At 46.6% G+C, this 13,350-nt stretch overlaps 1 pseudogene; it reads left to right on the forward strand.

Moving 5' to 3' along the window:
• LOC102724181 (rhophilin-2-like) overlaps nt 1-13,350 on the forward strand; it is a 55,052-nt pseudogene that overhangs the window by 5,132 nt on the left and 36,570 nt on the right.

Genomic DNA, 13,350 nt, shown 5'->3' on the forward strand with positions numbered 1-13,350 from the left:
CAATCTCAGCTCACTGCAACCCCTATCTCCCAGGTTCAAGCCTCAGCCTTCTGCATAGCTGGGACTACAAGCGTGCGCCACCACACCCAGCTAGTTTTTGTGTTTTTTATTAGAGACAGAGTTTCACTATATGTTGGCTAGGCTGGTCTCGAACTCCTGACCTCAGCTGATCCACCTGCTTCGGCCTCCCAAAGTGCTGGGATTACAGATGTGAACCACCACGCCTGACCCGAATCATTCATTTCTTTTCAAGTGGATATCTTACGGTATTTTAGGGCATGGCTAGGAGCAGTTTTGTTTTCTCTTCTCAAGACAGAGTTTTTGTAGGATGTCATAGAGTTCATGTCTGCAGCTCACAGTGTCATTGCCTGTGTCCCCAGCTCCACGTACTGGCAGGTGTGCTGCAAGCTGGGCAGGTGCTCTGTGTCCGTGGGATACCTTACCCGACACTCCCGGCCCTCCTCTGCAAGCCGTGCCCTGATCCTCCCTGCAGGGACTGGGGATTGGGTCTGCTCACCCAGAAGCTGGGATACCTGGCTGAGGGCACTTCTCTCCCTCTTCTCTTTGAACAGAGTGGCCGCAAACCCAAAGGTGCGGGAGCAAGTGCGGCTGGAGCTGAGCTTCGTCAACTCAGACCTGCAGATGCTCAAGGAAGAGCTGGAGGGGCTGAACATCTCAGTGGGCGTCTATCAGAACACAGAGTAAGTGGGAGCAGCACACCTTCCAGAAGCCTCTGAGCCAGAGATCCTTCATACATCCAGGGTATGAAGAGGTACCTGGGTACGAACCCTATCTGCACAGAGGCTAGATAGGGTTCTAGACTGGGGTGTGGCAGCCCCAACTTTGGGAAGTGAGAGAACCATCAGCTTTGGGGTTGAGTGAGGTGCTAGACTGGAAGGGATGAGCCCATTTGTTGGGAAATATCTGCAGTGTTGAACAAAAAGGCATTTGTGAGGCCGGGCACAGTGGCTCACTCCCATAATCCCAACACTTTGGGAGGCTGAGGCATGTGGATCACCTGAGGTCAGGAGTTCGAGACCAGTCTGGCCAACATGGTGAAACCCCGTCTCTACTAAAAATAAAAAAAATAGCCGGACATGGTGGTGCACACTTGTAATCCTGGCTTCTCAGAGGCTGAGACAGAATTGCTTGAACCCGGGAGCTGGACATTTCAGTGAGCCGAGATCACACTACTGTACTCCAGCCCGGCTGACAGAGCAAGACTCTGTCTCAAAACAGACAAACAGACAAAAAAAAAAAAAAAACAAATGAAGACAGTATAAAATCTAGTGTAAATATATGTGATGAACCAAGATAAGTTTAAAAGTTAGATGCCTTGGATTTTATAGTTAATTTTCAGTAATTCCGCATAGTCACATTTCATAGACATGCAAACATTAGCAAGATATGTTATTAAATTCAACTGAACAGACATTGAGCAAGGATATTTTAGTGAGTCACCATAATTTTCCTAAGGACATTGTTAGGACAATACCTTTCCAATGTTGGCTAATTATTTTCTCATTTATTTGCCAAGGAACAAAAAGCATACGCAAATACTTCGGGATTAAGGCCAAAGGCCAAAATTGACCCTGTAAGGGGAGGCCACTATGCACACACAGAGATTCTGTGCACTGTACTTACGTTGGACTGCAGTCTGTTTCCTAGCTGGAGGTGACAAACTGAAACAGAAAAATCCAAATTAAAACAAAGTAACACACCAGTCTCCTTTTAAGGTTGTATTTCTTTTTTTTTTTTTTTTTTTTTTTTGACACAGAGTCTCCCTCTCTCACCCAGGTTGGAGTGCAGTGGCGAGATCTCAGCTCACTGCAATCTCCACCTCCTGGGTTCAAGCGAATCTTGTGCCTCAGCCACCTGAGTAGCTGGGATTGCAGGTGTGCACCATCACACTTGGCTAATTATTATTATTATTATTATTATTTTTGTAGAGACAGGGTTTCATCATGTTGCCCAGGCTGGTCTTGAACTCCTGGTCTCAAGTAATCTGCCCGCCTTGGCCTCCCAAAGTGCTGGGATTACAGATGTGAGCCACTGTGCCTGGCTCCTAGGTCAATTTTGAAGGCACTTTATCATATCATTCTCCATAACTCAATTTTGGAATCGATTTCTGCAAGGTGAAAGCCAACAACACCATCCCTCAGAATTGCAATACATCTCCAAAAATGGAGATCTAACTATGAAAGAAATGCCCCTCTTGCCTCATGCCTGTAATCCCAGCTCCTCAGGAGGCTGAGGTGGGGGATCGCTTGAGCCCAGGAGTTCAAGGCCAGCCTGGGCAACTTAGTGAAACCCCATCTCTACAAAAAATAGGAAAATTAGCCGGGCATGGTGGTGCACACCTGTAGTCCCAGCTACTCAGAAGGCTGAGGTGGGAAGATCACTTGAGCCAGGGAGGTCGAGACTGCAGTAATGGCAACAGAAAGAAGTCCTGTCTCAAAAAACACAAAAACAAAACCAAACCCTAAGTGAAATGCTTCTTTTTAAGGAGAAATAACTTTGAGACAGTTCAAAGAAGGGTTTACGTGCTTTTTCAGTGTGGGCATGAGACTTCTCAAAAAGTAGGTGGGCCCCAGGGGAAACTCAGTTGGAAAATAGCTCCCTGGATTTGGAAACCTTGAGTCACCTATGGAATGTGTGTTTCCTGGTGCTGGTCCTCCACAGGGCACCGGGGTGGTTTCAGAGCTGGAGGGGAAGCGTCAGAAGTGTCTGTCATGGATATGCTTTGAAATTTAAAACTTACATCCTCTTTTATTAATAGCGTATTTTTTTCTTAAATCATGTATCCAGTTTAGGTTATGTCTTTGGAAGAATAGCTAAAGTTTTTTCTCTAACATTTTATTATGAAAATTTCCAAACTTTTCAAAAAATTTTAAGAATTTTCTAGCAAACCCCTGTGTACTCACTTCTTCCAAGAACATACTATCAGCATTGCTTCCTGACATATTTGTCCATCTGTGTATTCTTGTGTCTGTTAGGTTGGTTTGAAGGTAATTGCAGTTTTTGCCATTGAAAGTAATGGCTAAAGGCTGGGCACAGTGGCTCATGCCTGTAATCACAGCACTTTGGGAAGCTGAAGCAGGCAGATCACTTGAGCTCAGGAGTTGAAGACCAGGCTGGCTAAAATGGTAAAACCCCTGTCTCTACCAAACGTACAGAAATTAGCTGGACGTGGTGGTGCACACCTGTAATCCCAGTTACTGGAGAGGCTGAGGCAGGTGAATCATTCGAACCTGGGAGGTAGAGGTGGAGGTTGCAGGGAGCCAAGATCATGCATGCCACTGCCCTCCAGCCTGGGTGACAGAGTGAGATCCCATCTCAAAAAAAAAAAAAAATTAACTGGGCATAGTGGCATTTGCCTGTAATCCCAGTTACTCAAGAGGCTGAGGCATGAGAGAGGCGCTTGAACCCAGGAGGCAGAGGATGCAGTGAGCTGAGATTGTGCCACTGCACTCCAGCCTGGGCAACAGTGAAACTGTCTCAAAAAAAAAAAAAAAGAGAATGAAATTAATGGCTAATATCAGTCTGTCTTATTTGTGATGCAATTTCAAAGGAAATCAAAGATGTCAATTCACTCCCATTAAATATTTGAATAACCAGAGTCTTTGCTTGTGTGTCCCCCTGCCACATTCCTGGGTATCTGGACTCCTCTCCCATTTGGCAGATCCTCATAAGCCCACCTGTGCCTGGCACTGTGCTGGGTGCCAGAGGTGCCACAAGCCCTGCCTGCGGGGCCCTTGGGTCAGTGGGGGATTCAAGTGGGAAGTGGAAGGGGTGCTTCAATGGAGAACACAGGAGAGACCATGCCCCAATGCTGGGGCTGGGAGACCATCCTGTGCCTGGAATACCCTCCTCTTCCTTCCCTCTTCAACTCCATCAATTTGAGTTTTTAACCAGTCGCCTCCAAATTCCATCAAGGAGGGGAAAGGGGATGAGGTGCAGGGTGGCCCAAGTTTGCATCATGCAGCCCAGGCATTGGTTATAGGAATTAATCCTAGCATCACGAAAATTGCTTCGAAGAAATATTTTATGTTCTTTTTTTTTCTTTTTCTTTATTATTTTGAGACAGAGTCTCACTGTTTCACCCAGGCTGGCATGCAGTGGCATGATCTTGGCTCACTGCAACCCCTGCCTCCTGGGCTCAGTTGATCCTTCCACTTCAGCCTCCTGAGTAGCTGGTAATACAGACATGTGCCACCGTGCCTGGCTAATTGTTGCATTTTTCTTTCTTTTTTATTGAGATGGAGTTTAGCTCTTGTTGCCCAGGCTGGAGTGCAATGGCATGATCTCGGCTCACCGCAACCTCCACCTCCTGGGTTCAAGCGATTCTCCTGCCTCAGCCTTCCGAGTAGCTGGGACTACAGGCACGTGCCACCATGCCTGGCTAATTATGTATTTTTAATAGAGACGAGGTTTCTCCATGTTGGTCAGGTGGGTCTCGAACTCCTGACCACAGGTGATCCACCTGCCTTGGCCTTCCAAAGTGCTGGGATTATAGGCATAAGCCACCAAGCCCGGCCAATTTTTGTATTTTTCGTAGAGACAGAGTTTCCCACTGTTGCCCAGGCTGGTCTCAAACTCCTGGGTTCAAGCAGCCCTCCTGCCTCAGCCTCCCAAAGTGCTGGGATTATAGGCATGAGCCACTGTGCCTGGCTTATTTTACTTTCCATGATAATCCTCTTAGTTGGCTCATCTTGGACTACTTTTAGTTTAGAAAAGAAAACATCTTATGACATTTTGACTATTACTTTTTTTTTCTTTCTTTCTTTCTTTTTTTTTTTTTTTTGAGCTGGAGTTTCGCTCTTGTTGCCCAGGCTGGAGGGCAGTGACGGCCATCTCAGCTCACTGCAACCTCCACCTCCCAGGTTCAAGTGATTCTCCTGCCTCAGCCTCCTGAGTAGGTGGGATTACAGGCACCCGCCATCATGCCTGGCTAATTTGTGTTTTTAGTAGAGATGGGGTTTCACTATGTTGGCCAGGCTGGTCTCGTACTCTATCCACCCGCCTCGGCCTCCCAAAGTGCTGGGATTACAGGTGTGAGCCACCGCTCCTGGCCAACTACTACTTTTAAAAGCAATTGGTTAATACTTTGGAAGCACTTGACCTTCATTCTCAGAGACGGTGAGTTGTTTGACATAAATAGAGGCCTTTTTGACTGCTGCCTTGCTTAAATCCTGTGAGTTTGGGGTTTATTTTGGGACTGGAGAAGGGAAGTTGGTATTCTGAGTGTTTCAGGACTCAAGTTTACCAGAAAGTTTATGTTCTGGGTAGAAAGCAATGAAAACAATCCAGGAATTGCAGCTTTATGCCACACTGCCACAGCCTGCCTGAACTTTTACGTGAGACTTATGCCCAGATGCAATGGTTCACACCTATAATCTTAGCACTTTGGGAGGCTGAGGCAAGAGGACAGCTTGAGGCCAGGAGTTGGAGACCAGCCTGGGCAACAGAATGAGGCCTTCTCTCTCTCTCTCTCTTTTTTTTTTTTTTTTGAGACACAGTCTCACTGTGTTGCCCAGGCTGGAGTGCAATGGTGCGATCTCAGCTCACTGTAACCTCCACCTTCTGGGTTCAAGCAATTCTCCTTCCTCAGCCTCCTGAGCAGCTGGGACTACAGGCATGCACCACCATGGCCAACTAATTTTTGCGTGTATATATGTATATTTTTTTGAGATGAAGCCTCATTCTGTCGCCCAGGCTGGAGTACAGTGGCGTGATCTCGGCTCACTGCAAACTCCACCTCCCAGGTTCAAGCAATTCTCTGCCTCAGCCTCCTGAGTAGCTGGGGTTTTTCAGGAACCCACCACCACGCCGGCTAATTTTTGTATTTTTAGTAGAGACAGAGTTTCACCATCCTGGCCAGGCTGGTCTTGAACTCCTGACCTCATGATCCACCTGCCTCGGCCTCTCAGAGTGCTGGGATTAGAGGTGTGAGCCACTGCGCCAGGCTAATTTTTGTATTTTTAGTAGAGACAGGGTTTCACCATCCTGGCCAGGCTGGTCTTGAACTCCTGACCTCAGGTGATCTGCCCACCTTGGCCTTCCAAAGTACTGGGATTACAGGCATCAGCCACCATGCACAGTCATCTCTTTCTCTCTCTCTCTTTTTTTTTTTTCTTTTTTAAGAGATGGGGTCTCCTCACTATGATGCCCAGGCTGGTCTTCAGCTCCTGGCCGCAAGCGATCTTCCTGCTTCCACCTCCAGCAAAAGTGCTGAGATTATAGATGTGAGCCACCACACCCAGCCCCATCTCTATTTTTATTTAAAATATATGTGTGTATATATAAATGCAAAAATAGATGTGACTTGCCACTGGTCTGTGGGACTCAAAACAATCCACCTGTTTGGAAATGTCTGTTGCTGCTATTGTAGAAGTTTCTTTACGATATAATTTGTTTGTTGCTTGGTGCTGGGCTACAAGAATGTAAGCATTTTTTTTTGAGATGGAGTTTCACTCTTGTTGCCCAGGCTGGAGTCCAATGGCATGATCTCAGCTCACTGCAACCTCTGCCTCCTGGGTTCAAGCGATTCTCCTGCTTCAGTTTCACAAGTAGCTGGGATTACAGGCATGTGCCACCATACCCAGCTAATTTTTATTAGCAAAGACAGGGTTTCACCATGTTGGCCAGGCTGGTCTTGAACTCCTGACCTCAGATGATCCGCCTGCCTCAACCTCCCAAAGTGCTGGGATTACAGGCATGAGCCACTGCGTCCGGCCAAGAATGCAAGCATTTCAAAGGAAGAGTCTCTTGGAGAAACTTAGGAATTTTATAGGCATTTTTAAGGATTCAACTGGGTCATGTTCTGAATTCCACATTAAAGCAAATGAAAATATTCACATGTTGTGGACATGGCCAACTGCCATTCGGCACAGGCTTCCAACCATGTCATTTTAGCCTAAAAGAGACTCTACAAATGTCAGTCATATGAAAATGAGAACGTTTGAGGGATTTTCTGTTGTATTTTTTCCCTTCTATATTTGAGAGAAACACAGGTACTGCAGAAGTGGTTCAGCAGACTGAATTAGAGCAATTCCATTTCAAATGTGACTTGTGTGTCCGTGTGATTTTTTTAATAATCAGTGAAGCTTCACAGTGTGATTTTGTTTTATTTTATGTATTTATTTATTTAGAGAGGGAGTCTCGCTCTGAAGCCCAGGCCGGAGTGCAGTGGCACAGTCTTGGCTCACTGCAACCTCTGTCTCCCAGGTTCAAGCGATTCTCCTGCTTCAGCCTCCTGAGTACCTGGGATTACAGGCATCCACCGCCACACCCAGCTAATTTTTATATTTTTAGTAGAGACAGGGTTTCACCATGTTGGCCAGGCTGTTCTCGAACTCCTGACCTCAAGTGATCCACCCGCCTCAGCTTCCCAAAGTGTTGGGATTACAGGCGTGAGCCACTGCAGCTGGCTGATTTTGTTTTATTTTGAGGAAATAGGGCCAGGGACAGTGGCTCACACCTTTAGTCCCAGCTACTTAGGAGGCTGAGGTGGCTTGCTTGAGCCCAAGAGGTCGAGGCTGCAGTCAGCTGTGATTGAGCCCCTGCAGTCCATCCTGGAAAACAGAATGATACCTTGTCTCATAAAAAAAAAAAAAAAAAATTCGAATCAATGAAAGAAAATGAAATCACATCTGTTCTTCGGTAAAGTTTAATAGTTTTCTGCTTAATTGTATTAATTTTATCCCTAGAAATGTATTTTTGTTGCTATTGTGAAAGGTATTGTTTCTCTGTTAGGTTTTGTTTGTTTGTTTGTTTGTTTTTGAGACAGAGTCTCACTGTGTCGCCCAGGCTGGAGTACAGTGGTGCAGTCTTGGCTCACTGCAACCTCTGCCCCCCAGGTCCAAGTGATTCTCCTGCCTCAGCCTCCTGGGTAGCTGGGATTAGAGGCACCTGCCACCATACCCACCTAATTTTTTGTATTTTTAGTAGAGACAGGGTTTCACCTTGCTGGCCAGGCTGGTCGCAAACTCTTGACCTCAAATGATCCGCCTACCTCAGCCTTGAAAACTGCCAGGATTACAGATGTGAGCCACCACACCTGGCTGTCTGTTAAGTTTTTCTAATTGGTTATTGCTTGTATAAGAAAGGAAAAATATTGACTTTTCTTTTTTACTATTGACTTTCATGTGTTAACTTCTTTGCCACTTTATTGAATTCTTATTAATTTAGTAATGTTTCAGTTGATGCTATTGGGTTTTATAAACATGCTGTTGTGTTGCAAAAAATTATTTTGTTTCTTTCCAAGATTTTATGTCTCTTATTTTTCTTAATGTGTGGGCTAGAGAATGTTTGGAATTAGGCTAAGTAATAACAGTGATGGTAGAAATTCTCATTTTGTCCCTAATGTTTACAGTGGGTTTCAGTTAGGATTTTTTTTTTTAGATGAAGTCTCGCTCTGTCATCCAAACTGGAGTGCAATGGCTCAATCTCAGCTCACTGCAACCTCCACATCCTGGGCTCAAGCTATTCTCCTGCCTCAGCCTCCTGAGTAGCTGGGATTACAGGCACCTGCCAGCATGCCTGGCTAATTTTTGGATTTTTAGTAGAGATGGGGTTTCACCAAGTTGGCCAGGCTGGTCTCGAACTCCTGGCCTCAAGTGATCCACCTGCCTCGGCCTCCCAAAGTGCTGAGATTACAGGGGTGAGCCACCGTGCCTGGCCAGTTAGATAATTTTTTTTATCCCACTAAGTACATTAATCTACCCTAGTTTACTAAGTTTCAAATTCAGGATCACATATATAATTTAATCAAAATCCTCTTTGACTTTTATGAGGTGAACATAAGATTGGAGTGCAGTGACGTGATCATGGCTCACTGCAGCCTCAACCTCCTGGGCTCAAGTGATCCTCCTCCTGCCTCAGCACGCCTGGCTAATTTTTTTATTATTTGTAGAGATGGGGTTTCACTATGTTGTCCATGCTGGTCTCAAACTCCTGGTCTCAAGTGATTCTCCCACCTTGGCCTCCCAAAGTGCTGGGATCACAGGCATGAGTCACTACACCTGACCCCTTTTAACCACCATGCCCAGCTATTTTATTTTTTTATTTTTTTAATTTTTAATGGAGACAGGGTTTCACCATGTTGGCCAGGCTGGTCTGGAACACCTGACCTCAAGTGATCTACCTACCTCAGCCTCCCAAAGCGCTGGGATTACAGGTGTGAGCCACCATACCCAGCCCATGGCCAAGTTTAAAGAAAAGAGGCATAGTCAGCTGAGCGCAGTGGCTCATACCTGTAATTCCAACACTTTGGGAAGCTGAGGTGGGAGGATCACCTGAGGCCAGGAGTCCAAGACCAGCCTAGGCAACATAGGAAGACTCTGTCTTTACGAAAAATAACAATATTAGCTGAGTGTGATGGTGCAGACCTATAGTCCCCTCTACTGGAGAAGCTGAAGTGGGAGGATGACTTGAGCTCAGGAGTTCAAGGCTGCAGTGAGCTATGATTGCACCATTGCACTCCACCCTGGATGACAGAGCGAGACCCTCATCTCTTAAAAAAAGAAAAAGAAGGCACAGCAAAGTTGTATATTTAGTACAAATCCATTTTTGTAAGACAAGTGTTTGTCTGTGTGTCTGTACGTTGAACACACAAAAACAGGAGGAGCTTTAATGTAGAAGTTGTGTAAAGAGGTTACACAGTCACTTGGGAAGACATAATTGAGCGATCTATGTGATCACCTTTCTTGCAGCTTGGGGGAGCCAGCACTTGTAGGGGCAGCGGTGGGGTGACGGGGCAAAACCCCATCTCTATTAAAAAATACAAAAATGAAATTAGCTTGTGGCACGTGCCTGTGGTCCCAGCTACTTGGGAGGCTGAAGTAGGAGGATTACTTGAGCCCAGAGAAGTCGAGGCTGCGGTGAGCCGCGATCGCACCACTGCACTCCAGCCTAGGCAACCACGTCAGACCCTGCCTCAAAGATAAAATAAAATAAAATGCCTTTATAACATGGTTAAGGGTCTTCTTGGCAAAGGAAACCTGTATCAGGGGACTGTTATGACAGTCCTACCCTCAGGGTCTGTGCTGGGAAACTTGTCCAGGTCCTGAGGGAGGCCCAGAATTGCAAGTCTGAGCCCCTGAATATCTGCAGTGTTTGCAGTATGGTTGAATGTATAGTCCATAGACTAGTCTCAAACTCCTGGGCTCAAGTGATTTACCTGCCCTGTCTTCACAAAGTGCTGGGATTACAGATGTGAGCCATGATGTGCAGACACAAAGACATTTTTAAGCAAAAAATTAACTTCAACTCTCACTTTTACTGAAGCAACACAGCATTTAAAAACATAGGCATGGGGTGCAGTGCTCACACCTGTAATCCCAGCACTTTGGGAGGCTGAGGCAGATGGATTGCTTGAGCCCAGGAGTTTGAGACCAGCCTGGGCAATGTGGTGAAACTCCATCTCCACTAAAAATACAAAAATTAGCTGGGCATGGTGGCACATGCCTGTAATCCCAGCTACTTGGGAGGCTGAGGCATGAGAATCACTTGAGCCTGGGAGGTGGAGGTTGCAGTGACCCGAGATTGCAACATTGCATTCTAGCCTGGGCAACAGGAGTGAAACCCTGTTTAAAAAAAAAAAAAAATCTATGGCCGGACACGGTGGCTGACATCTGTAATCCCAGCACTTTGGGAGGGTGAGGTGGGTGGATCACCTGAGGTCAGAAGTACAACAATTAGCCAGACGTTGTGGTGGGAGCCTGTAACCCCAGCTCCTTGAGAGGCTGAGGAAGGAGAATTGCGTGAACCTGGGAGGCAGAGGTTGCAGTGAGCCGAGATTGTGCCACTGCACTCCAGCCTGGGCTACAGAGCAAGACTCCATATAAAAAAAACTACATAAATTAAGAAAATAAATTCCCCCACTTTGAAAATCACTGTAAGTTTTTCTTTATTCTGCCTTTTTAGAAACAGGTTCACAATTGACATATTACTGTTATGCACATACATGGTTTTCAATCACATTTTATAGTATCTAACCTCACTTTTCTTTAAGGATTTTATCCTGGAACATTACAGTGAAGATGGCTATTTATATGAAGATGAAATCACAGATCTTATGGATCTGAGACAAGTAAGTTTTTGTGTGCAGCAGAGAGGGGAGGGTAGCTTTTCCAAGTTTTCAGGGAACCCCATTATTGCACGCTTGTGGTCTTAACAGAATCATGGGCAGATTGAGGTGATGGCTGGGGGGTGCTGGAATCATCCATTCCATTTGCTGCATAAGAAAACTGTAGAAGGAGGCCGGGTGCGGTGGTTCACGCCTATGTAATCCCAGCACTTTGGGAGGCGGAGGCGGGAGAATCACCTGAGATCAGGCGTTCCAGACCATCCTGGCCAACATGGTGAAACCCCGTCTCTACTAAAAATTCAAAAATTAGCTGGGCGTGGTGGTGCATGCTGGTAATTCCAGCACTTTGGGAGGCTGAAGCGGGTGGATCACCTGAGATCAGAAGTTTCAGACCAGACTGGCTAACACCGCAAAACCCCGTTTCTACTAAAAATACAAAAACAAGCCAGGCATGGTGCTACACGCCTGTAATCCCAGCTACTAGGGAGGCTGAGGCAGGAGAATCACTTGAACCTGGTAGGTGGAAGTTACAGTGAGCCAAGATCGCACCACTGCACTCCAGCTTGGGTGACAGAGTGAGACTCCGTCTAAAAAAAAAAAAAAAAAGGAAAACCATAGAAGGGGAGAGACCTGCCTCCTGGCAGGGCTGGGACTGGATTCCAGGATTTCTGACTTCCTCCCAGGTTCTTTCCACCCCTCCTAGAGTTGATGATGCCAGCAGTGAGGTCGTCATACTGCAGAAATAGTTACAGGCATCTGCTGGTATGTGCAGGGCACCTTCCGGGAAGGGCTGTCAGCTGTGTCCTCCTCTGCTCATGCCCTCTGGGGTTCTTTTCCTCGCAGGCTTGTCGGACGCCCAGCCGGGATGAGGCCAGGGTGGAACTGCTGATGACATACTTCATCCAGCTGGGCTTTGTTGAGAATCGATTATTCCCACCCACATGGCAGATGGGATTCCTGTTCACCTGGTAGGTGCTGGAGGTCTGCGCTGGCGCTTCACGTGTTATGGCAGCCACAGTTTTGGAGCCTCAGCATCACAGACGCCCCTCTGTGGGCACCTCAGCCCCTTTTCCTATCTTGCATTTTTCCGGGGTGCACCCCTGTGCACCTCAGCCCCCTTTCCTATCTTGCATTTATCCAGGGAAGTCTAGAAAGGTGTCAATACATTGGTATTTATTTATGAAGGTGATCCGAGGGAGATGGCCCCAACAGACTGTGGCCTCTTGCTTCTCAGAACAAGTGAGCCAAGGAGAGGAGACATTTTTCTTGCTTGTTGTATCACTGGGGAAGCACAGGGCTCTGAAGTGGAATTAGCCAGAAGCAAGATTCTTGTCTCAGATTGGACTGGGGCATGCGTGTGTATGTGTGAGTGAGTGAGAGAGAGAGAGAGAGAGAGAGAGAGAGAGAGAGAGAAAATCAGGTCTTGTCCAGTGAGACAAAAGCACCAAACAGAAATAGATCAGGTTTCTTTTGAAACGGGGTCTCACTGTGTTGCCCAGGCTAGTCTTGAATTCCTGGGCTCAGGTGATATTTCTGCCTCAGCCTCCTGAGTAGCTGGGACTATAGGCATGAGCTACACACTCAGCTTAGATCAGATTTAAAAAATGGAAGTAGAGGATTTGATTCTTCTCCACAATTGGTATTTTCAGACAAGATCAGGCATGTCAGGGTGGTATGGCCGTAGACCCAGTTGGTGTTTTCAAAGATTAGTATACTTTAAATACTTGGGGGGCTGGGTACAGTGGCTTTCATGCCTATATTGCCAACACTTTGGGAGGCTGAGGCAAGCAGATCACTTGAGCCCAGGAGTTTGAGACCAGCCTGGGCAACGTGGCAAAAACCCATATCTACAAACAATACAAAAATTTGCTGGGTACGATGGTATGCACCTGTAGTCCCAGGTACTCATGAGGCTGAGGCAGGAGAATCACTTGAGTCCGGGAGGCAGAGGTTGCAGTGAGCCGAGATCACACCACCGCACTGCAGCCTGGGTGATAGGAGTGAAATCCTGTTTCAAAAAAGAAAAAAAAAAGGCTGAGTGCGGTGGTTCACACCTGTAATCCCAGCACTTTGGGAGGCCGAGGCAGGTGGATCATGAGGTCAGGAGTTCGAGACCAGCCTGTCCAATATGGTGAAACCCTGCTTCTACTAAAAAATACAAAAATTAGCTGGACATGGTTGTACATGCCTGTAGTCCCAGCTACTTGGGAAGCTGAGGCAGGAGAATTGCTTGAACCTGGGAGGCAGAGGTTGCAGTGAGC

Source organism: Homo sapiens, chromosome 16 (assembly GCF_000001405.40).
Source record: "Homo sapiens chromosome 16, GRCh38.p14 Primary Assembly".
Taxonomy (NCBI): domain Eukaryota; kingdom Metazoa; phylum Chordata; class Mammalia; order Primates; family Hominidae; genus Homo; species Homo sapiens.